This window comes from Homo sapiens, chromosome 9, assembly GCF_000001405.40.
Source record: "Homo sapiens chromosome 9, GRCh38.p14 Primary Assembly".
In the NCBI taxonomy this organism is placed as follows: domain Eukaryota; kingdom Metazoa; phylum Chordata; class Mammalia; order Primates; family Hominidae; genus Homo; species Homo sapiens.
The window spans coordinates 107,918,639-107,946,620 of NC_000009.12; the positions used below are offsets into that span (position 1 = coordinate 107,918,639).

The 27,982-nt window shown below is 42.5% G+C and overlaps 1 pseudogene, besides 6 other annotated features; it reads right to left on the reverse strand.

Annotated features, from left to right (window-relative positions):
• RNA5SP293 (RNA, 5S ribosomal pseudogene 293) lies at positions 228-340 on the reverse strand (annotated as a pseudogene).
• Positions 15,470-15,639: an enhancer, noted in NCBI's record as "experimental_104396 CRE fragment used in MPRA reporter constructs". NCBI's record gives its function as "activates a minimal promoter by MPRAs in K562 erythroleukemia cells, with activity observed for both the introgressed and non-introgressed 9:110696474 variant alleles {active_cell/tissue: K562}" and the evidence as "EXISTENCE:reporter gene assay evidence [ECO:0000049][PMID:34662402]".
• Positions 21,898-22,042: an enhancer, noted in NCBI's record as "145 bp 9:110702889 sequence used in MPRA reporter constructs". NCBI's record gives its function as "activates a minimal TATA-containing promoter with rs12380282 allelic activity by MPRAs in C283T melanocytes {active_cell/tissue: C283T}" and the evidence as "EXISTENCE:reporter gene assay evidence [ECO:0000049][PMID:36423637]".
• Positions 21,898-22,136: a biological region, named in NCBI's record as "melanoma risk locus-associated MPRA allelic enhancers 9:110702889 and 9:110702983".
• Position 21,970: a transcriptional cis regulatory region, noted in NCBI's record as "rs12380282 or 9:110702889 MPRA-significant variant associated with a GWAS melanoma risk locus at 9q31.2". NCBI's record gives its function as "allelic transcriptional activity by MPRAs in C283T melanocytes {active_cell/tissue: C283T}" and the evidence as "EXISTENCE:reporter gene assay evidence [ECO:0000049][PMID:36423637]".
• Positions 21,992-22,136: an enhancer, noted in NCBI's record as "145 bp 9:110702983 sequence used in MPRA reporter constructs". NCBI's record gives its function as "activates a minimal TATA-containing promoter with rs1888618 allelic activity by MPRAs in C283T melanocytes {active_cell/tissue: C283T}" and the evidence as "EXISTENCE:reporter gene assay evidence [ECO:0000049][PMID:36423637]".
• Position 22,064: a transcriptional cis regulatory region, noted in NCBI's record as "rs1888618 or 9:110702983 MPRA-significant variant associated with a GWAS melanoma risk locus at 9q31.2". NCBI's record gives its function as "allelic transcriptional activity by MPRAs in C283T melanocytes {active_cell/tissue: C283T}" and the evidence as "EXISTENCE:reporter gene assay evidence [ECO:0000049][PMID:36423637]".

Sequence of the window (27,982 nt, forward strand, 5' to 3'; positions counted from 1 at the left end):
CTCGCTTGGATCACATCCTGGTAATCCAGTCTGGAGCTATTTGAAAGTCATCAGAACCAAAGTATTTCTTCAAAAATTGTCTTTATAAGCTGTGGGCTAATCCCAATAGGTCTGTCCCAGTTAGTCCCAGTTACTGGTGTCAGCTACTGTCCTGCTCGTGGCTTCCCCATGGGTGCCCCGTCGCTGCCAGCACGTGGCTTGGCTCTCCCCCGTCTCCCAAGGAAAACCGCCTGCTGCCTTTATTGTTCTGGGCATTCCCATTCACGTTTTCACCAAGCCTGACCCTGCGTGGCTTGTAAAATCTGATGGGATCTCTGCCCAAGGAGGCATGGCTGCAGGCACGTGGAAGTGCCACTCAGAAGAGGTGGTAACATGTGAGTAGAGAGCAGTCTGCAGAGAGATGGGTGGCACCTCGCTTTCCGTACACTTGAGCTATGATCATTGAGCTCCTGGGTTTCCTGAACATGAAACTCACACACTGCTTAAAACAACTCATTAGCATGCCTGGGGAGAGTTGAACAGTTCAGGCTTCTCAAAAGTCCAGTGTTTCCCTAGGAAGGAATTTACTAGGGTGGTGGTAGGGCTGGGGTAAGAGACTCCTCTACATGACCAACAGCATTGCATTAGGTACCTTGGCAAGAGCCAAGCGAGGTAAACAGTTCCATTACACATACGCCACATGAGGAGTGAGAGATGTCAGAGCTGGGCCAGTATGGAGGCAGCTGAGGTACACTGGAAAGAATACCAGTGCTTGATGCCAGGAGGATCTGTCACTTACCAGCTGTGTCTTTTGGACAATTCACACATTGCCTCTTGGAGCCTCCTCTGTGATCTAACTCATGGGGCAGTTGAGAGAATCACATTAAATAAAGCAAATGAAGAATTTTGCCATCTGCAAAGCCCTCTGCAAACGCGAGGGGTTATTACAAGGCAGCTTGTGAGAATCATTCTTTTTAGTGCCGTGTATTGACAAGGGAGCCACTCTCTGGTTAGTACTGGGCCAACAAAGCTTGGCTTTTGACGTCTATAAAAATCAGTTTAGGTCTTTCCTTACCTAGATATTAGGTTGTAAGGAATCTTTAAAGCCCTTTAGACATTCTGTCCTACCCCTATGCCAGCTTTCTTTGCCATTTAGCTTCCTCTCTGCAACATCTCTGCCAGATGGTTTGCCAGACTCTGCTTACATACTTTCAGGGATAGGAAGCTCACTCCTTGTTAAAAAACATCCCTCTTGTCTTTGCTTAGCTCTGACCACTGGAAAGTTCTTACTGGGCTGAAATCCACATGTTGATCTTTCACATACAAGTCTTATTTTCATCCCTCCTGTTCACCCAGAACAATTCCAACAAATGCATTCTGCAACTCGGTAAGATCAATCCAATTTTCTTTATAAATTACATGCACTTTTTTATTTCCCCTAAACTAGGGATTATCAAGCTTATTAGTCCCTGAACTCCTTTATACTCTTAAAAACCTTGAGGCCCCCAAACATCTCTGTTTTTTTGTGGATATATAGTTACTGATATTTACCTGATTAGAAATTAAAACTAAGAAATCTAGAAAAATATTAATTCAGTTAAGAATAAAATTAATAAGTTCATTGTATGTTAACATAAATAAAAACTTTTATAAAAAATAACAGTGGAGTCTTAAAAATATTTGGTGGGAATGATGGCTTTGCATTTTTGCAGCTCTCTTTAATACCTAGCTTAATAGAAGACAACGGGGTTCTTACATGATATAAAGTGGGAAAAGTGGGGAGTATTTTAGTAGCCTTTTTAGATCGTTGCAGGTGTGGCATGTAATCTCAAGAAACCTCTGTACACCCATGGAAGTTTAAAAAGGTAAATACCCATGGAGAGTTTAAAAAGGTAAATAATTCCCAGGTATTGTTATAAAATTATTTTGACCTCATGGAACCCCAAAAAGGGTCTTGGGGACCTTAGGGGTCTTCAGATCACGTTTCGAGAAGTGCAGCCTTAAGTCATGATTCTTACAACTTTAGGTTTGTTCCAGTGGCAGCTTTTCAGAAATGGGAACAGGAGCCCTTCTTCCATGTCTCCCACCTACTTCTTTTCTTTAATTCTGCTTACTATTACAGAATGGATTTCAAGACAAAAATGTGACCACCAGCCTGATGTTTTTCAGGTAGAGATTGAATTGATCATATCTCAGAATTTTATTCCAGCTGGCATTGTGCCTTTATGTAGTATATGACCTTGGGTACTCGAGAAAGATACATCAATACCTATTGTAAAAAGAACACGACCCCAAGAAGACAACACAGACCTGATAAAATACAACTCCCACTTTCCAAAATGTTAACTGGTGGGCCGCATCTGAAACATAGGAGTGTGGCCTTTTGTTTTGCCTGGTAACTCAGTATAAGCTGTGACACTGACTTGTGCACATTCTGCCATCATGGTATGAGCTCACAGAACCAAAGTCCCTCAGGGGCAGGAAGGACAGCACCTCTCCCTCCTCTGCAGCTCCAGCTCTCTCTACAACACTTATCCATCTCTCAAGATGGGCATGAACCCAAACTTCTTTGTGAGTTTTGCTGATCAAAGTTTTTGTGGCAGAGTTTGAGAAGGGCACAACCCAGATATACTCCCTTCAGACCAGATCTCCTTCCCTTGGTTCACTGCCTATCTCTGTAGGAATAGTAGTCTCCAGGACCTACCATTTTATTTCCCATCTTTGCCCTGTTTATCATTTCTTCGTCCCTTCGTTTCTGATCTTTTGGTGTCACCAAGTTGCCAGGGGGTTGATTTTTCACAGCAGAGGCTTAAGGCAACGATTTAAGTACTATTCTTTTTGGTACAGCAGTCTCACCTCCATGTTCATATCTAGACCCTCATATACTACTCTAGGCAGTCAGTATATACCTTGGCATTCATTTCTATGCGCACACTCCAGATTTTACTGGAGAGCCCCACGTAGGTGAAGGAGCTGGGCCAAAGGATTTCTGTTTTCTCTTACAAACCTGGCTGATCTAGTTCCCAGAAAGCCATTTGTCCATGTTCATTTTCCTATTTGATGTATGTTGTGAATCATTAGAAAAGTGAGAGGGCTATTATATATTAATTATGTGCTATATGCCAGGGTTTCCCATACCCTAGCTAATTTAATTCTCATTATACAGGCAAGGGTTTTCATATCCCCATTTTACAGGTAAATAAACAGACTAAGAGAAATTGAATAGGATTGCCAGGTAAAAAATGCAGGACACAGGCTGGGCATGGTGGCTCATGCCTGTAATCCCAGCACTTTGGAAGGCTGAGGTGGACGGATCACCTGAGGTCAGGAGTTCAAAACTAGCCTGGCCAACATGGTGAAACCCCATCTCTAGTAAAAATACCGAAAATTAGCCATGCGAGGTGGCATGTGCCTGTAATCCCAGCTACTCAGGAGGCTGAGGCAGGAGAATCACTTGAACCCAGGAAGCAAAGGTTGCAGTGAGCTGAGATCATGCCACTGCACTGCAGTCTGGGCAGCACAGTGAGACTCTGTCTCCAAAAAAAAAAAAAAAAAAAAAAAAAGCAGGACATAAAGTTAACTTTGAATTTCAGATAAACAAAACATAATTTTTTTGTATAAGTATGTTCCGTAGAATATTTGGGACATACTTATATAAAAAAAGTTTCACTATTTATCTGAAAAGTTTGAATTTAACTGGGCTGTGTATTTGCATTTGCTAAATCCAACAACCCTGGAAGTGAAGTAACTGACAAGGCTGAACAGTGCAGAACTGCCAAGAACTGAAATCTCCTTTTTACTCTGCCTGGAGGCCTCTCACCCTAGTCTTGCAGTCTGATGTCAAACCCTAATGCAAAATGGAAAAATGTTTTCTCAGATTCTTGCTGGCCCATAAATATCCATAATCAAAACAGAGTCTTGTATGTGTGCCAGGTAAGGGGAGGAGAGAGGCACTTGTATATTTCTATTTTTACCGGATTTTAAGATCCTCACAGGCAGCAACTGCATCTAGTTTATCCTGTATCCTCAGCACATGCAGAAGGAACCCCCTGGAAGCTTGTTCAGTTGGACTGAAAAAGCAGCTTTTGGCCAGTTCAATTGAGGGTGCTGAGTTTGGGTGGCCCGTGAGCTCTAGCTATTCTCACCTCTTCTATCTTTGGCTTTCATTCTAATCTAGTTTTGAAGATGAGAAGGAGAATCTCCAAGTAGATATTTGTGTTCTTCTAACATCAGCACTGTAAGAGATTAATAAGGGACTTAGACCTGGCATCTAACTCTGGCCTTACTGGCTGGTAAATCCAGTTCCCAGATTTACCCCTTTGAAAATGAAGTGTTCTGACCAAATTAGTCTTAAAGCCCTTTCAAGCTCTGCCATCCCACAGCTGAAAAATTGTGGATGGCTCTGAAGGGAGAATAGGTATTTGGTAGTAATGACAACTATGTAGAAATGCTCCTGGGGTAGCATTGCTGTGGAAAATTATTTACAAGGCTGAGTTGTCATTTCTCTTCATGTAGACCAGGAATTAGGCTGGGAGTAATTCTGGTACACAGGCACCCTAAGATGTTGGTCTCATCAGTAACAAGAACAAAAAATATTAAGACTGTTTCTCTCACTACAAGCAATGACTAAGAAAAATGCCCAGGTGAATGTGAATATGTAGTGGAGATCTAAAACATTCATAGCTGGAAGATCCACCATTATTCTGCAGCTTCCAACATTGACCCGCTGGGGAGGCCAAAGTTCTCCTCTGAAAGTTATGGGTGAAGCACTGAAACAAAGTATCTCCTTTGGGTGACTGATGCTCTGGGGATGGACTGCTTGGTGGCTTGTTGCAGAGGTGAAAGTATAATATCTGCATCTCCTTCCTTCACTTTTCTGTTTAACACACAGACTTTCCTTATGGGGTCTACACATGACCCAATGTGGCTTGGCTAGGGCAGCTTCAGGTAACAGCTGCATTGCCTCAGGTGCTCCTTTTCAGTGCTGACACTATTTGCATCCAGCACCTGCTTCAGGCTTGTGCCCTGGGCTTGTTGATGCTCTATTCTCTCTAATAGAACTTTCTGGGATGAGTGGAATATTCTCTGTCTGTGCTGTCCAATATGGTGGCCATTAGCACACATGGCTACTGAGCACTTGAGGTGTGGCTCGTGTGACTGAAGAACTGAGGTTTTAATTTCTACATTTCAATTACTTTTAATGAAAATAACCACAGGTGGCTAGTGCTACCATATTGGACATTGTGTAGCTATAGCCCGATTTTTTCCCATGACTGAAAGAACCCCACCTACTGACCTACTTTTCTTTCCCCTAAGCCACTGTTTGAAACTCACCTGGGTCACTCTACAGACTGGTGGCACAGATCCTGGCTTAGAATTCAGAAGCTCAAGCCATCCTTGCATGGGCCCCACCCATCTAATCTGTTCTCTCATCTTTGGCAGTTCTCTTCTGTTCACTGCAACCTCCGCCTCCCAGGTTTAAGTGATTCTCATGCCTCAGCCTCCTGAGTAGCTGAGATTACAGGTGCACACCACCATGCCCAGCTAACTTTTGTGTTTTAGTAGAGACAGGGTTTTGCCATGTTGGCCAGGCTGGTCTCAAACTCCTGACCTCAAGTGATCCCCCTGCCTTAGCCTCCCAAAGAGCTGGGATTACAGGCATGAGCCACCATTCCCAGCCTGAAGCAATCTTCCTTCTATCTGAGCTACCTTCTCTTGTAGCATCTCCTTTCCTGCATTTAAAAATGTGTCCTCTTTTGGCCAGGTGTGGTGGCTCACACCTGTAATCCCAGCACTTTGGGAGGTCAAGATGGGCAGATCACCTGAGGTCAGGAGTTCGAGACCAGCCTGGCCAACATGGCCATCGCTACTAAAAACACACACACACACATTTGCTGGGTGTGGTGGTGCACACCTGTAATCCTAGCTACTCAGGACCCTGAGGCAGGATAATTGCTTGAACCCAGGAGGTGGAAGTTGCATTGAGCCAAGATCACGCTATTGCACTCCAGCCTGGGCCACAGAGTGAGACTGTGTCCCAAAAAACAAACAAACAAAAACAAGTGTCTCCTTTTAATCTGAAGCTGACTTCTTTTCCTGGAGTATCACGAATGTTGACTTGGTAAGGTGTTCTCTCCACCAAGGTCTTGCCTACTGGATATCACTGACCAAGCTTGACTATCCAGGAGATGCAGTGTCAGTCCCCTGTGTGCTTCTGCTCTAGGAACAGGAAAGAAATTGTCCGTTTCTACTTCTGCCAACACAAACATCTAGTGAGCCAAAACCTTTCTTAGATCTGAAGTGATTTTTCTTCTGATGTGGATTCTGCCATTGTATCATATTGTTTTGCTAAGTCATGTAATTTCTCTCAGGTATTTTAAATCATACTGTAACACTGCTCCTATACCAAAATGTCTCTAAGAAAACTGACTACCAAGGAAATGGAAATAAAAAAGAAAACTAGGCTGGGTGTGGTGGCTCACGCCTCTCTGTAGTAATCCCAGTACTTTGGGAGGCCAAGGCAGAAGGATTGTTTGAGCTCAGGAGTTGGAGACCAGCGTGGGCAAAATGCCGAAACCTAGCCTCTACAAAAAAACAAACAAACAAACAAACAAAAATTAGCCAGGGGTACTGGCATGCACCTGTAGTCCCAACTACTTGGGCTGAGGTGGGAGGATCACTTGAGCCCAGGAGGCAGAGGTTGCAGTGAGCCAAAATTGTGCCACTGCACTCCAGCCTGGACGACAGAGGGAGACTTTCCATCAAAACAGTAGTAACAATAATAATCAAGAAAACTAGCACTTAGATGAGCATCTACTTTTCTTCAGGGCCAGTTCTTAGCACTCAACTTGCATTATCTGATTTAATTTTTATAAATACGTTTTGCAGATGGGAGAACAGAGACTCAAAGAATGTATGCACCTCTTTTGAGATAAACCTGTAACTGCCACTGTTGGATAAAAACCCAGGTTGGTTGTCTCCAAAGCCCTTTATCTTTCAACTGTTGTAAGAAGAACTTATGGCAGGAAGTCATCCTGTACGGAGCAAAACCATGGCTCATGCAAACAATATCCCATCTACACGCATACACACTGGGAAAAAAAGTGAGTGTGTCAAGTAAAAGACATCCAGCTCCAAATCTTCTTCACCTGCAGTTTGTTCGAAGATGGATAATGAATATCATCTGAATTGCCAAAGAGCAAGAAGAGGGGGGAGACATCTGGCAGAGAAGAGGGATGATTCCAATTTGCTAGTTATTCTGGTGATGATTGCTCATGGGGCAGCCAGAACAGAAATATGGATATAAGCTTGAATTTGTTGATTTTAGTTGCAAAAGGGAACAGAGTGTGTGTGTGTGTGTGTGTGTGTGCGCGCGCGTGCTTTAAAAAGCAGATTGAAAGAGTCTTCTTACTCATAATAGTGTTTATGGGACATATTAGAATTCATAAAATGCTTTGTTCATTCTCTGTTTTGTTGAATCCTTGCCATAGTCCAGTAAGGATAGCATAAATGTGGCAATTTTGTAGTGGAGGAAACTGTGCCCCAAATTCAGTCTCAGAAAGAATAAAGCTTGCATTCACAAGCCAGTCTAAATGTCAGTCCTGTGCCACTTCATATTTGCCTGCAGTATTTCTAGATTTTGCTCCTCTGATAGTAAGTGTATAGGCAACTAAATAAATTTACTTAAGACTTGGAAAGGAGATTCATCAGGACATGTCTAAGAAAAGAAAAGGAATAAAGTTTAATGTATACAAGTCAAAATAAATAAAGTGATACGTCTTAGTAATGTAATATTAAATATAATTAGATTTCAAATAATTATGACATGACACTACTTTTATAAGTTTAGAAACAAAATCTAATAAGTACACATACTTTTTAGGAATACACATAGATACAATAAAACCATATACTAAGAGAATCAAGGGAATGAAGAATATAGGATTTAGGGTGATGGTTACTCTGTGTGAGAGAAGAGAGGAGAAAGAGTTTGTAGAGGAACCATGGAGTTAGATGGTTATTATGGAAGTTCTAATTTTAGTTGTTAGAGGTGGTTTTAAATGTGAATGCATACATTTAAAAAAATAACTAAATGGCTACTAAAATAAGTAAAAGTGAGTCGTGCAAAAACTAAGGATCAAAATATGTAATGAACCGTTAAGATTAATTGTGTTCTGTTAACCTCTAGTCCAGTAAGTAAAAAACAGCAACAACAATAATATAGGTCTCTAAAAGACAGTTGCACCTGGCTTAATATAATGGGACTTATTTCTCACATACAATATCAGGACGGTCCAGAGGTCCTCTTCTGTCCTATAGATGTGCCAACTGGATTATGTGTCATGTCAGGTAAGCGGAGGCAAAGAAGACAGAAGAAACACACTGACTTTTAACTACCTCAACCTGCAAAGAACAAATGTCATTTCTGCTCTTAGTTCATTGGCCAAAACTAGCTATATGGCCTCAGACTATTTGCTGGAGAAATTGGGTAATGCAGAGGAGGAAATGAAGATTTAGCAAGCACTATCTGTCCCTGCAACACTTCTTTTATTTTTTATTTTTCTTGTTAGAGTAAAGATGAACAATTCTAGGTAAGATTCTATTTTTACCTATCCTTCTTGTGAGCTTTAAGAGACAGATTAGCTTCGTAAAAAGAGCTTGGGTTTGGTGTCAGATATATCTGGGTTTGACTCGTAACTCTCCTCTAAATGACTTAGGTGAACTTAAGCAAGTCGTATCTCTTCTCTGGCCTGTTTTCTTATATGCAAATTGGAGATAATAATCCAGATGTTGCAGGATTAGTGTAAGGCCAAGGTTGAAAGATGTCCACTAACATGTTGGAATCTCAGTAATTTACTAGTAATTATTACCATGCAAAGCTGCTATGAGGTCATCGTTCGAGTTATTCAAATCTCAGTGTAGCTTTAGAGATTGTCAACAATATCTTCTTTCATCATTGCTTTAAAATGAAGCCACAAAGCCCTTGGTAGTGTTGCTATCTTGAACAGAATCTGCCTAGAACTAGGAAGGTATCTATGTATACCAGAGGCCTGGTACAAGTGGGATAGTTGTATCTTTCTCTGGTCATAATGATGCTTAAGATTTGTATTCTCTGAGGAACAAGTAAACATAGTGGGTCCAGTATGGTCTTCATAAGACTCATGGGCACTTTTTAGAAACTCTTTATATTAGTCAGGATAAACTAGGTTATGTGGCCATAACAAACATTCCTTAATGGCTTAACACCAGAGGTTTATGTCTTGCTTGCAAAAAGTTTACTGAAGATCTAGGAGACTTTCAAAGCCACTGGCTCTCCAAGTAGTGATTCAGTGGTCCATGTGTGAGCAGCTTCCTCTGTCCTGGAGCTAAACTATTTGGAAAATACAACCTGTTCAGTTGAAACGACAGGAGAAGAGGTCCTGGAGATTACGATTTGGCAATTGCTTTGGCCAGGAATTAACATTTACCATTTCTGCACACAATGCATTGGTTAGAATTAGACGATGCTGCCTAGCTACAGGAGTGGTGGGGAAATAGAGTCCTTTCTTGTGCCCAGAAGAAAAAGCAAGCTAAATATGGGTGAGCACTGGAAGTGTCTGCCAGACTCTGGTTCTCACTGATCCTCTGCCATAAATGGGCTGTCTTACATGGACAAGGGTACAGCAAGGTTGTCTATACATAGGACATGCTTCACAGTCCATATACATCAAGACTCCTTACTCTTTAAAATCTTTTGAGTGTTCTGCCTCCATGTTTTTGTTAATGTTGTTTCATTGTCCTAGAGTATACTTCCCTTCTATTTCTATATTTCCAAATTTTACCCACTTTTCAATGCTTCATCTCAAATGCCACCTCCTCTTTATCTCTTGCTGTGGTTATTTATTTATTTATTTTTATCTCTTCTACAGTATGTTATTAATCTCCTGAGATCCTCTGGCATGTTTATTTTTACCCCCTAAGTTTGTGTTCAAACATGTGAGTGAACCAAATTCAGAGTACTAAGAGCAACTTGTGAAACTTGGAATCACAGTCACAATCTTCATTCTGAGGATCAGGAAGTACAATTGTGTTCTTCACATGCTGTGAAGTTTGGCCTGCCCTCTGAACTCATAAAATTTGGCTGGAAATCGAGAAGAGTAAGAGCAGAGATGCAAATATGGCTTCCCCAAACCTCCTCAGGAGGATCTCTCCCTGGACTTAATGATGGCATTACCTCCTCAGGTCAGTCAATTTGTCTCGCTGGCTGGCTGTCTGTTCTGCGCCTGGGACAAGGGACAATTGGTAGCCGCTGGGCCAGACGGTGAGACCTGGGTCTGCATCAAGGTAGCAGCTCCTGGCAATGGCAAAATTCCCTTTTGAAAGTGCTGTTGCTTAACCATCTGCAGTGGTCTGAATGTTTTTGGCCCTCCTAAATTCATATGTTGAAATCTTAAATCCCACGGCAATAGTAATAAAAGGTGGGGCCTTTAGGGGGTGATCAGATCATGAGGGTGGAGCACTCATGAATGGGATTAATGCCCTTGTAGAAGTAGCCAATGTGAGCTCATTTGTCTCTTCCACCACATGAGGACAAAATGAGAAGCTACCACCTATGACTCAGAAAGTGGGCCCTCATCAGAACCTGCCCATGCTGCCACACTGATCTTGAACTTCCCAGCCTTCAGAACTCTGGGAAATAAATTTCTATTTTTTATAAGTAAGCTACTTAGTCTAAGGTATTTTGTTATAACAGCCCAAATGCACCAAGACACCATTCATCTGAAACTTGGTTATGGATCATAGCCTGATCTGGTGTTTAAGCAGTTTGTTAAAGTAGGCAGTGTTCCTAGGTGTCTTACACTTCTGGGGTCAGACACTCTGGTGACTGTTCTCTTAAGACTTTTCTTAGGAGGTTCTTTTCAGCAGCATTTCTGATGATGAAAGCATTCCCACAGATCTACACATGGGAAGGGAAGCCCTACTTGTTCTATGCCCTTGTGAAATCCTGCTTTGTGAACAGCAGCTGCATGAATGTGTGCAAACCTAACCAAGCTTTCAGGACCAATACATGAAGGAACAAACACCCATGGAACTTCCCCAACATGCTGGGCACTGTGCCAGTGTGTTCGCATGCTTTCTTCTACTTAATCTTTACAACAGCCCTGTAAGGTAGCAATTACTCGCCCTATTTTAGTAGGTAAAAAGAGACTGAGATTCAAAGAGCTAGCACCCGAGTCCCACAGGTTAGAAGGTACACCAGCTGGAGAGATGCATGAACCCTACATCATGGCTCATGTGACCTTGGTGGACCATTATTACATTCTGGACTCAAATTTGTCCTCTGTTAGGCCAGTGGATGTGGTCAGGCTGGAATCCTGAAACTGGTCACCCACTGGGCATCCCATCAGTTCTACCCCATCATCAGTGGGGTGCCTGCCTCTTTCATACTGTGACTTAGAGTCTGAGTGGAGAGCTTACCATGTTTACTATGACTTTAGTGACAATCTTCCCAGGTGTTCAGTGCCTGATGGGATACAGAGACTACATATATATTATCTCAGTTAAGGCCCATAACCACATTAAATGCAGGCAGAAGTTAAACAGGAGGAAATTGTGGCTCAGAGCTAAGGCAAGAGTTCAAGGACACACAGTTGTTTGGGGGTGATGCTGGGATAAGAAAATCCTTCCACTATCTAGGGACCCTCTGAGTAGCCACAGTCACAGTGATAAAAGCCAGAACAGAGGATGTAGACCCAGACAGTGATATTTGGGAGGGCCTATGCAAGAGTATCAGTTTCTCCTCTACTCCTTGGCTGTGAAATGGGAATAATAATTCTAATATTTCATGATGATTGTAAAGATGAAATAGGCATAATGTTGCATCAAAGCCCCAGCCCAGGCCAGCTGTGGTGGCTCACCCCTGTAATCCTAGCACTCTGGAAGGTCAAAGCAGGCAGATTGCTTGAGTCCAGGAGTTCGAGGCCAGCCTGGGCAAAATAGCGAAACCCCGTCTCCACTAAAAATACAAATAATTAGCCAGGCACAGTGGTGTGTGTCAATAGTCCCAGCTACTTGGGAAGCTGAGGTGGGAGGATCTGCTGAGCCCAGGAGGTCAAGGCTGCAATGGGCCGAGATGGCACCACTGCACTCCAACCAGGGCAACCAGAGGGAGACCCTGTCTCAAACAAAACAAAAAAACAAAAAAACAAAAGCCCCGGCCCAGCTCAAAAAACCCCAAAACAAACAAACAAAAAAAGCCCCAGCCCAGCTCCTGGCCTATAGGAAAATACCTTAGCTAGCATGGGCTTAAATATTTGGTGACTATCCATCAAATGTGTACCCTGATCATTTCTGGAACATTGGAAACAGACTGCTTTGGGCTCTATTGGATGGGCCCTAATTCCTCGTCACATGTGACTCTGTGATGGGGTGGAAAATGATAAGGTAAGTGGAAGAAGGTTAGAGAAGGAACAAGTAAACCACTTAGGGCTGTCCTTGCTTCTCTTTTATTTCTTCTTTGTGCAGTGGTTTGCACGGCGGCCATGGAGGGAGAAGAGAATTCATTCACGGCTTTGTCAGCATTTTGCCCTCGTCCAGAGAAGGGTGGGCTTTGCCAGAGCCTTGGGAAGCAGAACCCCTGGGCCTTCTGGGTAATGGGTGTATTTAAGTATGTATCTGGCTTTTCACAGCCAGCTGACTGATAAAAAGGACCTTGATAGCAAACCCACCCCAGCACTGGGTAGTTAAATGGCACTTTCAGCTGAGCTCATTTCTGGCACCAGAAACAGAGGATCATAAACCAGAACTCTAACCTCAAGATGGATTCTATTTGCGAGATACGAATGGTGGTTTCTAAGCCTTGAGCAGTGTTAAGCACCCCTGTTTCCAGGAGAAGTTTTGTTCAAGGCTGCAGTGGTCAAGGCTGCGTGGTGCTTCCCTGTTTGCATAGCAGGCTTCTTCGCATAAACACTTTGACCTCCTGGCAGCTCTGCAAGGTAGATAAGCTTGTCAGAGATTACCACTTGATTTTCTCCAAGAGGAAACTGAGGCTCAGTGAGGGCCAGGGCTTTGTTGGAGCTTGCACAGCTAGATCTGACCTTCTGCTATAAGACCCCTGGACTAGAATTTCTTCCTCTCATGATTTTGTTCACAGAATATAATTCCAGGAGGTTTTCTCACCTTTAATCAGTACTCTTGGACCTGGTAATCTAAAATGGGAAGTTGAGGCTTTAGAGAGATTACATTCCCTGCCCCAAACCACACAGCTAGTAAACAGCAAATCCAGGATTAAAATCCTGATTTCTGCATCTCAGTTCTTAATTGCTATGTCGGTGTTTCTCAAACAAGGATTATCATGATCCATTCTCAGAGAGCCACATGTTACAAAGTTTCAAAAATTTACATTTTTATTTTGATAACAATCTTTAATCTCATTTTGCCTATTATACATTAACAACTACTTTTAAAAATGTTGGTTAATAATTTGAAATGGAAAGACTTATTTTAAATGCATAAAACAAGATAGTCCTTGTTTCAGTTTGCAGATCCTGAAGTGGATGGAGACTGTGTCTCACGTCTGAGGTCACTTTCTAGGGTTCTATGAGGTTTTTTTTCCATATGAAAAAGTTTATATATTACACAAGTTTGAAGAATCTGAGCTGTGATTCACAGCTTCCCTATTGAGTTGTAGAAACATTTCTGCATTCTCTCCTTGAAGTCTGTGAGTGATTATTACAATCATTTTGCAGATGAGGAATCTGAAGAGAGGTTTAGATTTGTACCCAAGCTCACAAACCTAGGAACTCACTGATTCCAGCTTCAAACCATGCCTTGTGACATCCATCCAGGTTACCTGCTAAGAAAATGAGAAATTCAGGTTTTTAGCCAGAGGGTGACTAAATGTCTCTGATTTCTCCCTAAAAGATCTAGAGGAACATGGATTCAAAATGGGTAGAATCAGAGCTGAGGAATGTGACAAATGTCCTCTCCGTCAATGGGGGTCCTCCTAGCAGGAACACAAAATGATGTTTATCCCATTTGCTTTGGCCATTCACCTGTCTGAGCCATCTCCATCTCAAGGCTTCTACAAGGTGATAATTCCCAAATTCCATTGCAATGTTTATGATTCTGCAGCCAAAGCACTCAGTGTTCAGCTTTAAGCAAAGAATTGCAAATATTCACATCCATTTTCTTATCTGGACCGGTTCTCCCACCGCCTCCTGCATGTGGTCTTCACATGGCTTTTATGAATGCATGAAGTCTGTTCCAGCTTGTTCTAGTGTTGCAGTGTTTTAACTGCCATAATACAGTGGTATCAACAGATAAATTAACTAGATATGTTGAAAAAATTATGGGCAAGAATCCTGTTCTCCTCACTCAGCCTAATTCATCCACAGGGAGAATCTGCCGTGGGAGTTGCGGGGAGAAGATCTCTATGAAGTACAGACCAGAGAAATAAGCCAGTCCAATGATTCTATTATTCCTAAAGTTCTGGACTGTTTTCACTTAAATCAATGGCAGTTTTCTCTAAAGTTGCCCCCTCTCTGAACCTGGCAGTTTCTCCTTTAGAGTGTTTGCAGAGCTGCTTTCAATGGGACTTTCTGCTGTGAATCATGGCAGTTCAGGTTGCCGACTCATAATATTTTTCTATCGCTAAGGATGTCCTTGTCCAGATCTCAGATTGACTCTTCTCACTTCCCGAAAGGAGACAGTTTCTAAAGAACTATTAGAGTACTCACCACAAAAGGCCTTTTCTCCCCCCACCCCGCCCCCCACATTCCAGCATCCAGTGTTTTCCCCTTTGCTTCATTCTCAGCATCTTATTTAAAGTTGGGGGAACATGTGCTTTTGGGAAATAAGCTCCGTAATCCTTGGTCCCTGAAGTGATTTTCAATAGGAAATCTGAATTCCTGCTCCATGTAAAATGGGTCTCAGATGCCGAGAAATTAGTATTTGAGTGTAATTTATGATTTACTTTTCATAAATCAGTGCTATTTTGCCTACAAATCATTTTGGAAAATGTTACGGCTTTATAAAGTATGAGTCAGAGCAGGAAATACTGATTGGAAATCGAGGCTTATATGTTGATCCCTGGTCCTGTCACCAAGTAGTCACACGATTTTGGCGAGTTGCCCCAAGACTTTGAGTTTCACAGGGGGTTGTACAATTATTAAATTACATTTTTTGATGATTAATTCATTAGTTTAATACATATTTATTGCCTGGCAACTCTGCCAAGGCATCATGCCGGTCCTTTCCAATTCTTACATGTTATAAAAATCCAGGCTGATGATGGGTTACATTCTTCCAGGATGGATTTGACAGAAAGAGGGTATGATTCTAGGAGTCAGAAAGATTATTTTATTTGATTTTTTCACTACCTCAGCAGAGTAGTAGCTCCATTTTGTAAAGGAGTAAATGAGCTCAGAGGTTGAAGGACATACAGGAGGTTGCATTTCTTCTAGGTGGTAGAGTCTGGCCTGAAACTTAGGTTTGCCTGGTTCTTTCTCTAGGAGTTGCTGACTCCCTAGAATAACCCAATTTTATGTCCATTCTTAGTATTTTCCAACGAGAAACTTGGGACACACTTTGTTTTCCAGTAAAAATGGAGATTGGATTGTGCGCTCTGATTGATTTAGCTGCTTTCTCTAATCAGGACAGATTCCTTCTGGTGTGGTTTTGATCTGTGCCCCACCCAAATCTCATGCTGAATTGTAATCCCCAGTGCTGGAGGTTGGGCCTAGTGGGATGTGATTGGATCTTGGGAGTGGATCCTTCATGAATGTTTTAGCACCATCCGTTTGGTGCTGTTCTCATGACCGTGAGTGAGTTCTCACAAGATCTGGTGGTTTAAAAGTGTGCAGCATCTCCCCCATCTCTTTCTTTCTCCTACTCTGGCCATGTGAGGTGCTGGCTTCCCCTTCACCTTCTTCCATGATTGTAAGTTTCCTGAGGCTTCCCTAGAAGCTGAGAAAATGCTAGCATCATGTATCCTGCATGCCTGCAGGACCATGAGCCAATTAAACCTCTTTTCTTTTTAAATTACCCAGGCTCAGGTATTTCTTTATAGCAGGGCAAGAATGAACCAATATGCCTTCCTACACCGAGAGTGGAGCTACACACAGTTCTCTGCATGGGCAGAACAGAGTGGCTGATGGACCCCCTGGGGTATGAGATCAGGTTCTCCAGGATGCTTGTACATCAGCAGAAACATATGTTGGAGATGGCCCTAAAGTTTGGAGTCCATCACAATCTCTACCCTGCCTTTCAGGCACAGAAAACCTGGTAGAAGTGTACGAATGCCCAAAAGAGAATTATTCACAAATCAGGCAGTCAGGCCCCAAGAAAGTAAGTTAGCAATGGTGCTGGTCTGTCAACTGAAACTCTGCACTTCTTAGCATTCTTTAAATATATGTGTAAGTAAGAGACAGTGGCAAGTTAATGGCTTTGAGTTCAAGAGAGAAGGCTTTAAAATGCTGGACTTCAGATGACTAAATACATAGCAATAAGTTTTAATGAGGGAAAGAGAAAACACTCTGGGAATTTTAAGCAGGATAGAGTTTAATATTGATAACTGCATGCTTATAAAATAGTTGTAAAGGCTGAATAGGACAGGCTTCTTGGGTGCTTTCCAAGAAATACAGAACTGACCTACCAGGGGAGCTACTACTTCTGAGTGTGCCACTAGCACTGGGTAGATTTTGAATGGAAGACACCACCATTGCAACCCCTGGACAGCAGGGAGCAGGAGGATGGATACTCCAAGCTGTAATTCATGGATCAGGAAGTCAGATCAGGAAGCCGGCACTACCACCACTGTTTGTCTGTACACAGGACCCTGGAAAATGAACAGTGCAGTGTGCTGCAAGAAAAACACAACTTTTCCAAGCAGTAGTGACAACCAGAAGTCAAGGCGATGGCCTCTGCCTTACTTCTTTTTTTCAACAAATGAATGCATCAAATTGGGTCTCCAACCTCTTCATTTATGAAAATGGTGAAAATGAAGGCTGAGGTGGTCAGTGCAAGTATCTACTGCAATGGGGAAAACTCATTCTTCACAGAGATTGTTTTCTAGCATTACTTAAAACTCCAAGGGTAGAAGAACTTCCTCCAAAAACGCAAAGTAAAACAAAACAAGACCACTTAATATTCTTTTTACACCATTAGGAGTAGAGGTTATCCCAGTAATGGAGGCATTCATCTTCAGGGATTTATATTCTCTTTGTTCTATTCAGAAAGGGCTGAGCCAAGTGTGTCCAACTTAGGGTTCAGTTCCTTCCTCTGTTTGAACCCCACCCAGCTGATGTCCAATACCACTATTTCTAGTAGGAAATTTTCTTATTAAAAAAAGTTGTGTCCAATGGGAAAAGTGGTAGTTCCATCTCCTTACTGGAACAATAGATGGCAAATGTACATTGAGTTTCATTTACAGCAGACCCTGAGCACCAACTCTATTTTAAGGCCTGAGCTGGCCACTGGGCATATGGAGGTGAATGAGACACTGCCAAACAGGAGAGCCAGGTGAGTAAACAGATCATTACATGATGGAGGTAAGCCAGGGAGGGTGAAGGCGTACGAATAAACCTCGAAATACAGTTATCGAATAAACAGATAACATCGGAGAAACAAGACTCTGTAACTCTTCTTTGTGCAGCCAGTCTGCGTAGTTGCCTGCATAGTCCACACATTAACACAAAAGAGTCTATTTTTCCTGGTGGCAATGGTTCTGAAGATCAGGGTACTCTGATAATTCCTTGGGGTTGGCAGCTTCTGAAATGGCTCGCAGTGATCCCCGCTTCCTGGTATTCAAGCTTTGTGTAAATTCCTCTCCTTGAGAACGGACTGGACATGGTGATTTCCTTCTAACAAAAAAATATGGGAAAAGTGATGGGATTCTGAGATTAGGTTACAGTCCAAAACGTGGAAGTGCCGATGTTGAGAAACTCTGGGCTAGAAGTTGGTCTTCCCCGGTTATTCCCCTGGTCTCCCTGATTGATCAGATTCCAGATGTTTCCTCTGACTTTTCTGCTTGAAGCCACTTGGATGAACCATCCATGCTATTTAGCACACCCTACCCTCACACCTTCAAACACATGTACCACCCCTGCTACAGACTGAATGTATTCCCTAAAATTCATATGTTGACACCTAAACCCCAGTGTGATGGTATTAGGAGGTGAGGCTTTCTGGAGGTGATTAGGTCATGAGGTAAAGGCTTAATGACTAAGATTAGTATCTTATAAGAGGTCCCAGAGAGCTCCGTTATCTCTTCCACTCTTGCCCCTTTCACCCCTTCCACTCGTGAGAAGGCACCATCTATAAACGAGGAAGCAGGCCTTCACCAGACCCCAAATCTGCTGGCACCTTGATCTTGACTTCCCAACCTGCAGAACTGTGAGAATTTCTGTCATTTATAAGCCACTCAGTTTATGGTATTTTTGTCATAGCAGCCCAAAGGGACTAAGCCAACCCCCACTAGACAGCCTGGCTCCACAAGGGCATCATCTCTGACCAGTGTTTGCCAATATTGCCTGTTCCACGCAGTCACTCCTCTTTTTCTGTCTTTCTTGGGATCTCAGGGGCACAGAGTGGTGGAGGCCACATCCCAGTCTGTGAGTTAGTCCATCAAAAGTCAGTCCCTTAGCGAAGATCTGTTTTCACTTAGTCCCACGCATCACAGTGGCAACAACTCAGCCCTACTGAGAAATCTGCTGACAGTTTTGGATAAGGACAAATACATTTTCTGGAAGAACACAATGGAGGCAGGTTTTCTGGAGACACCAGAAAGACAAATATCAGAATGCTAAAAAAAAAAAAAAAAAAAAAAGGAAACACATACTAATAGGAACACTGAAAACAACTTTTTTTGTTTGTGTTTTTGGAAGAGCAGAGACATCATTGTTACTTTTGTCATTTCTTTTTGTTTCTTCTGAAAGCATTAACTCTGAGAAGAATGACTTTTGCCAAAAACCACCCCCACTAGGGGACAGACACGACAGGCCTACTCTACATGGGGTGATCTGGAGGGAGGGAGGGAGCCATGGACCCAAACGGAAGGATTTGAGTCCATGGCCCTGAGAGAAAGCCTGTTTTTTTGTTACTGGGAAATATGTTCTGTTCTAAGACTTCTTTCCAAAGGTTTTTCAGAGCCAGAGTCTTGCTTTTCTTTTCCCCTCCTGAGAGTAAATGAGGCAGCCACTGTGTATCTGAGAAGCATCTAGTCTATGCTGTATGGTGAGTTCATGTCCTTCCTCCATGTCTGAGTGGCTCTTCACCATTGATACCTTATCTGTCCAGTTCAGGACCTGAGAAGTGGAGCATGGAGAAGGTCCCACCAAAAAGCAAGCTGTTTGTTCTGACACAGAGACTCAGTCCTGAGTCCCTGCTGCTTTCCCCACTCTGGGAAGGCAGAGTAGAAAACCAGAAAGTTCTGGGCAACTTCTTTGGCTTTATTTATTCTTTTATTTAATAAACATCAAAAGCCTAATATATGTCAGGTTCTATGCTAGATGGCAGAGGCCCATACATGGGTCAGACACAATCTGTAACCTCTGAAAGTTCATGGTCTTTGGGATGGGGTGGGGGTGTGAACGACGGGTGCTAGATAATGAGCAATGACAGTATGGGGGATGAGGTGGCCTCCTAGAGCAGGTGACCATGAGTGCAGGTGCTAGGCTCTTGGTTCCTCCTCTTGTCTGTTCTTCTTGAGCACTTGAAAAAAAAAGTTATGGTATTCTTGCATTCTGACATTTTTTACTAAAAATACACATACATGTACTCTTAAATATACTCTTAAACCACTGTTTGTAGTGTCACAAAAACTGGCAAATAAGGTAATTTCCAAATAACGTATCATACATTCATCTTAGGGGATATTTTGCAGCGATTTAAAAGAATATAAAAGAGTGAATGAAGCTTTATAAGATAACTTGGAGGAGTTGTCTGTGAGCTATTGGTGAATGAGAAAAGTAAGATAAGCAAATGTGTAATATGCTGCTTTTTTTTGTAAAACAACAATAAAAATATGATGTATGACATATATGAATATATATATATATATATATATATATGAATATACAGGTATCTAAAGAAATCCAAAGAAGAATGCACATAGGTTGTGTTGGATATTTTCTTTTTGCCTCCCAAATTCACTCCCTGCCCTGCCCCAGCCGGTGGTGTGCCTGGAACCTGACCTTTATGTGCTGCATTCACAGCCCAATATACCTTTTGGTTTCTGGTTGGTTTCATGAATGGAATTACCAGTAGGAGATGAGAAGGAGGGAAGGGCATGGGAAAAGGGTGTTTTCCTCTTACTCCTTCCTGCCAGTGACGGTGGCACCGGGTAGCTGCCTCTCCTTTACTGAAGTCCACAGCTCCAGATCGGGGGGGCCTCCATATGACCACTCTCTTCCTGTTGTATAATCTTTATCTTTGGCCCTTCAGGTCTAAAGGGCGATTTGCTGTGGCTTCAGCATCTTTTGCTAGTTTTTCTTAACCTGCGCTCACTTTGAAAATTGTCTCTTTATTAAAATCTCCTTGAGCGCTGTCTGAGTGCACCACACCATCTGTTTCCTGCAATGAGCCTGTCTGATAGGGTTGTTGATGTGTTATCTCTCGGGGAGGGACTGTGGAGATGAGAGACAGTGATAGAGGGGAGAAGAGGGGAGACTGGGGAGCCAAGCCAAAAAAGAAAAAATTGCACCTATGAAGTCAAATAAATGTATGTATATGCATGGACATGAATGGGATGAAATTAAATAAATTTTTTAAAAAGGAGAGGACCGGTCAGGCATGGTGGCTCACACTTGTAATACCAGCACTTTGGGAGGCAGAGGCAGGTGGATCACTTGAGCTCAGGAGTTTGAGACCAGCCTGGGCAACACGGTGAAACCTCATCTCTACAAAAAATACAAAAATTAGCCAGGCGTGGTGGCACGGGCCTATAGTTCCAGCTACTTGGGAGTCTGAGGTGGGAGGAGGCTTGGGCCCAGGAGGCGAAGGTTGCAGTGAGCTGAGATTGTGCCACTGCACTCTAGCCCAAGTGGCAGAGACAGACCCTGCCTGAGAAAAAAAAAAAAGAACTAAAAAAAAAAAAAATTCCCCTCAGTAGTGACACCAGAAGAGGCTTTGCTCTCTATGCTCACTCCTTCTTTTTGCCTCACATGCTGTCCCCAAATCCAGCATAGAAAGCTCCTATGGCCTCCTCTTCCGTGCACTCTCCCCCAGCTGAGTGGACACTGTGAGGACACGTGGGGCTGGAAGGGGCAGCCCTGGAGGGGAGCATCCCCTCGAATGCTCGAGCTACAGCTGGCATCTTCCCTTATTTTACACATTCAGCACTCTTCTCTCTGCAGGTTTTGTTTATGCTGGTCATTCTGCTTAGTCCTTCGAAGTCCAGTTCATATCTTTCCTCCCTGAGAAAGTCTTCCCAGGCTTTCCCTTCTCTACTCTTCAGACAATGTTAATAACTTCTTTTTTCCAATCCCTTCCCTTTTCCATGTGTCTGTTGCCACTTTTGACAACTGTAAGGCATTGCTTGGTCTGTCTTAGGCACTGGAGTGAAAGCTCTTTGAGGTAAGGCCCTGGATTTAATGTCCAAGCACAATTCTAGCACTCAGCCAGAGCCCAGCTCTCAGGGAGTGCTCACTGACTGTGCATTGGTTTGATTGACTGGCTGGTTGGTCGGTTCATTGATTATAGAGATTTCCCAATGGAATGAATCTCTAAGCTGAACCAGTTCAGTTCGTTGTCTTATGTATGAAGACTTCTGAACACAGAGACAAGTAACTTGCCTGGAGGCTCACAGCTAGCAATAGCAGAGCTGGGTCTGGAGCCCCTAGGCCAACGTCTGCTTTAAGAACATTTACGCCTTCTCATGTCTGAAACCTCTCACTTTCTACCCATTCATCCCCTCTGCCTCAGGATGTCCTGGCTGGAGAGGCACGTGGCTAAAGTGGTCCTTTCTCCTATCACACTGAGCTCTATGTGGTTCAGATTTGCTCTCCTGTGCCCGACAATCTGTGCCTCAGAATAGCCAATTGTCAAGGATCATATAGGGAGAGGCAGCTGGGGGGCATATCTCCCTGGGCCCTGATACGTTACACTTCCCAGAAACCTAGAGTGAAGCATGTGAAGTTGACAGTCCTGTTTTATTTCAGGAGGGAGAGGGACCATGCACTCTACATGAATAACCAGAGGAGAAATGCTTATTCATCTTTTTCCAGAAAATTTACATTCCTTCTAACCCAAGACCCATTGCAAACATCTCCCTACAGAAATGATGACCCTTGTGATTTATGGTCCAAAACTGACTCCCATCCAAAAGGATTATGAGACACTCTGGGCCTGAAAAGTGAGTTTGTGGGACACACAAACACATCCACATATGCGCATTTTCTCTCTGTCCCTCACCCTCTCTCTTGCTCTTTCTCTCCCTCTTTCAAACCTAGTAATGAGCTCCTGCATTAGGCTGCAGACTTGCTGTGGCCCATGATGCCAGTGTGGCATTGGAATTCATCTCACTTGGAAAGACTATTACAGTGTTTTTTGGTGTTTTGAACAAGCATTCTGGGCTGTTCCCATAGAAAGGTATTACTTGGTGCTGCATATTAAAAAAAAATGCATGTTACAATTCTGTTCTCATTCTCCACTTCCATGTGGTCCCTTACCTCGTTCTCTCCTCCACCTATTGCCAGAATGATTATTCCAGGACACAAATCTTACTGTTTGTCTCCTTAACACCTTTTCATGACCCCAAAATCTACTGCTCACATGATGAAATTCGAGATCTGCAGCACGTGGTTCGGGACTCCTGCCAACCTCACCAGGCTCAGCTCTTTCTGCTTCTCCCCAGGCAGCCTAGGCCAGTTGAGACTAGGAGTTGAGGTTCCTCAACTCTTCCCTGAGCATGCCTTCTTTTGTCGTTTACAGCATTGTCCTTTTGTGTATTCTGATCCCTCTCCCTAGAATAGCACTCTCAGTTTTCTTCACCTAGAGATCTATTTTAGGAATTGTGCTAAATCTTGCCCAAAAACTTACGAGGTTTGTGTGTGTGTATGTGTTTGTGTGTGCATGTGTGTTTTCACAGTGTTTTACCTTGTTTCTTACATTTCACATAAGAGTCCAGATTCTCAGCCTATCTTGAAAAAGCAGTAGATTAGTCAACTGTGCCTTTGTGCAAAGTAATTATCTATAGGGGCTGAGTAGCAATTGTCCATTTTAGAACAGAGCATGACACTTTAGTGCATTTCAGTCTCCACCTCACCTGCTTGAAGGCTTTTCACAGTGATTTCTGTTCTCTGTGGGCTTCACAACAAGCCCCATTGTTAACTCTTCTAAGAAGCCTCTTTACTCCCTACCAGGTAGAATATTCTCTCCTTCTGCTCTTATACCGCTGTGCATATATTGCAACCGCAACACTTTTTATATGGTATTGCACATGGATTTGTTCAAGGAGATTGTCTCTGAGATTATTGCTAAGGATATAAAAGTGAAGAAGACTTAATTCTTGCCCTCAAGAAAACTTTCACTCTAGGGAAGAAAATGACACATACACACAGAGATAATCAAGATATGATATGGGAAGTACATTAATAAAATATATTTAGAGCATTATGGGGAAACAGATGAGAATTCTTGAATGAGCCTGAGGTCTACAAATGCCTCTGTATTAGTCTTCTATTAGTGCTGCAACAAATTATCCCAAACTTAGTGGCTTAAAACAACACAGATTTATTATTTATAGTTCTATAGCTTAGGAGTGGAACATATACCTTACCCAGGCAAAGACTGGTGTTGGTAGGGTGCATTCCTTTCTGAACATTCTAGGGTAGAACCATTTCCTTGCCTTTTCCTGCTTATAGAGGCTACCATACTCGATGACTCATGGCCTCATTCCTTCATCTTCAAAGCCAGCAACATTGGGCCAAGTCCCACTCATACTGCCATCTTTCTGATTCTTTTGATTCTCTCTTCTGCTTTTAAGATCCTTTGTAATTACATAGGGTTTACTCAGATAATCTAGAACAATCTCTCCATCTCCAGATTAGCTGATTAGCAACCTTAATTCCATCTGCAACTTTGATTTGTCTTTGCCATATGATATAACTTGTTTACAGGTCCTGGAGATTAGGAAATGAGCATTTTTTTGGGTGCCCTTATTTTGCCTACTATATTTTCTGTATTGGTTAGGATAGGCTGTACTCTGCTGCAATAACAACCTCCAATCTCAGTACAAACAAAGCTTTGTTTCTTGAATATACAGAAGATTGCTGTGATTCTAGATGACTCTCCAGGGCAGCTCTCTTTCTTGCAGTGACTCAGTGACCCTAATTGTTTCTGTCTTGTGATGTCATTTCAACATATGGATGCCAATTCACCACAGTGACGGAAGTAAAAGCACAGAGACTTCACATCTGTGTTCAGTGCTTTCATTCTATTTCACCAGGAAGAGACTCAAGTATCTTCTGCTTGCCACCTCTTGGCTAGAGCTAATCACGTGAGCTCAATTGCAAGGGATGCTGGGAAATGTAGTCTTCTTATGTGCCTAGAAAGAGGAAAATATAATAGTTTTGATAATCACATAGCATTGTTACTGTAACAGCTCCTCAAATGAGATGATAACTGGACTGAAACTTAAAGGGTCATTGGGAAGAGGTGATGAGGAAGGCGAGGTAATATGAGAAAAGACATGGTATTATAAAATACCACAGTTTGTTCAGGAAACTGGAGTTAAGTGTCAAGCAGGTAGCATTGATGGGGGAGATGCGGAACATGGAAGAGAAGAGAGGATGGAAGGCCTTGACTAACATCTTAGAAGGGTGTTGCATGGTTAAATTTTCACTCCAGATAGATCCATAGAACATAAATCAATGAAACCGGGACATTCTCCCTCTCTCAAAAAAATATATATTTTTCTCTCTTGAGAATATATACATATACACACACACACATATATATAGAGAGAGGAAATATATATAGAAAACAGTTATATATATATAGAAAAAATATAGAGAAAAACATTTAACTATATACAAAATACATGTTTAGAGGGAAATATATATGGAAAATATTTGATACATAGAAAATATTTAGAAAGAAATATAGAGAAAGATAACATATATGTATATATGTATGTATGTGCGTATATATATTTTTTCTGGTACTGAAAAAATGCCTATCACATAATGTGTGTTCAAAATATATCTAGATGCTTGAATCACTCTAGATGTTGTGTGAATGATGGAGTTGAAGTGAACAGAGGATAGAGGCTCCAGTTTCATTTAGAAGGTTGTCATATTGATTTAGGCAAAAATGATGAGGTTTCAAGTCATGATGGGGACAGATATAATGTGGAAAAGAGGACCAATTATAGACACATTTAAGAGGAAAAAATATGGAAAACTTGATAATTGATTGTATGTGGCAGCAGACCAGGCACTGAGGGGAAAAAGGATATTAAGAACGACTCCCAAGGGTCTGGCTTGGGAAAGTGGGTGGGTGGATTGTGCTCATGGAGAGTGAGATCACAGGAGGAGGAACAGATCTTGGACAATCATGAGGAGTTTAATATGAAACATATGGAAGTTGAGGGCATTTTGAGGGGCACCTGGAGCACATGAAAAAGTTTGTGAAGGAGATAAACGTCTATAGGCTGGGCTTGTAATCCCAGCACTTTGGGAGGCTGAGACGGGTGGATCACTTCAGGTCAGGAGTTCAAGACCAGCCTGGCCAATGTGGTGAAGCCCCCCCCCCCCCCCCCGTATTAAAAATACAAAAATTAGCCAGACATGGTGGCACACACCTGTATTCCCAGCTACTCGGGAGGCTGAGGCAGGAGACTCGCTTGAGCCTGGAAGCAGATGTTGCTGTGAGCTGAGATCGCACCACTGCACTCTAGCCTGGGTGACAGAGTGAGAATCTGTCTCAGGAAAAAAAAAACAAAAACCCAAACCAAACGAAACTAAGAAACATCTACAGGGCCGCCGCAGACGGGTGGTAAGCGAAACTTCTAGACGGCATGGTAGCTCTATGAGACTGGGTAGAAACAAGAGTGAGCAGGACAAGGCACACAACCTAAGAAACTCTGGCATTTAAGGGGTCATCACAGAAAAAAGAGATTAAAAATAAGTGAAGAAGGAATAAGAACCAAGAGTGAATTCCAGAGAGAGCTCGTGGGATGGAAGCTAATGACAGTAAGAAACTCAGGAAGGTTGATTAGCAGCGTCTATGCTGCAGAAAGGCCCAGAAGATACCAATGGAAAGGGCCAACTGAATTAGCCAATTAGGAAGTTTACCAGTGAACTTGGAGAGCACCGGGCTGGTAGAGTTATGTCTGAAATTAGATTAACATGGGCTAAACAGTGAGTGGGAAGTAAGAAAATGAAGATAACATTAGCAAGAAGTATGGCAGAGGGATGGAGAAAGGGATAACAGGAGATTTAGTGGCAAAAAGAGGTATAGGAGATTTGCAATACACATCTAAATATTTAAACAAATAACCAGGAACCAACCATAAGCTCTTTTGCCTTTGAAGTTGGAGGTGGTATCCATAAATTGGATTTTGACACCAAACGTTCGGTTGATCACATTAGAGAGTTTAAGCTGTGCTGCTTCCACTTGTACCCCCGAGGGCAAGACCTTCCACTTAGATACTTGGGCAGGCAAAGATACTCCTTTCCTCAGTGGCCTCAGCATCCTTACTGCTCAGGATGCAGCTGATTCCAACAACCAAAAGGTGCATATGAGAGGGACCCAGCGAGAAACTGGCCTTACTAATTAGTCAAGCTCCTGTTGGGAAGTGTGAGACCTTTAACTGGAAGTTGGAGAGCAATGATACCCTCAGCATTGTACTGAAGATGCAGAGTCACCAAATTCTCCTGAGCCTGCAAAGGCTTAAATTAAGATAATAATTTCTACCTCATCAACCTATTGACAGTATGAAATACACTAATATATTTAAAGGGCTTAGCAAGAGGCCCAGCATATAAAAAGTGCTCAGTAAACAGTAGTTCCTTTCTGTGACTAAGTTGCTTCATTATCTTCTCCCTGATGTCAGTTTCTGGGTGCCGCTGATAAACCTTGATGTCCGTAATGTGATTGACTATATGGCACCTCTAGAGGAGAGAGGTGAGATGCAGCATGGCACTAGAGAGACAAGATGTCAGGCACTTAGGCTCTTAATGCTGGCTCTGACTGTTAGAAATAACTTTAAACACTCTCTCATTCCTGCCACATCATCCACCCCTTGGATCCCAGCTACTATCTCATGGTTGTGTCTTTGGACAGGTCTCTTCACCTCTCTGCTCTTCACCTTCCTAGAAAATGAGATAATTGTGAAATAAGTGAAAGTACTTTGAAAAGTATAAAGCACTGTCCAAATATAATATTTTAATTACAGTTAAGGTGATTGCTTATTTAATTCATAGAGAAGATTATTCTTGCCTCAACTAAATGATTTAGGGACAAATATTTTTAACTTGAATCACGCAGATGATTGCTTAGGCTCTCCAACTCCCATTGGTTGTGTTGACACAGCTTTTGGAATTTGAAAAGGAGTTCCTCCATGAACATGAAATTGGAAACTTCTTTTTCTTGGACGTGGCTTTTTGCAGTATCTTTGAATAATTCTTCAGATTCTTCAGACTGGATGGATTCTTCCTATGACCAAAGTTCTCAACTGGTCAAAGGCAAAACCCACCTCCAGTTTCTTGGAAGTATCTCTTGTTAAGCCAGCCCTACTCCTCTTTATCTGAAAGAGAGAGTAAATGTAGGCATACGATGCCTTTAAACACATAGGGCAGTGCCTGCCTTTATTTACTAGCTAGAAAAGAATTATCTGCTGGGCAGTGTGACAAAATTACATTGTGATTTCTGGTTCTCCAAAGCGGAAGAGGGAATACAATTCCTTCCCAAGAACTCTTCGGTTTGGCAGTTGGGGTTGTTTGAGCTGTGATAAAGGCTAATATTTATTCAGCCACCTTCCCAAATCCAACCTGCTACTTGGAATCTGCTCAGTGGTGATCAA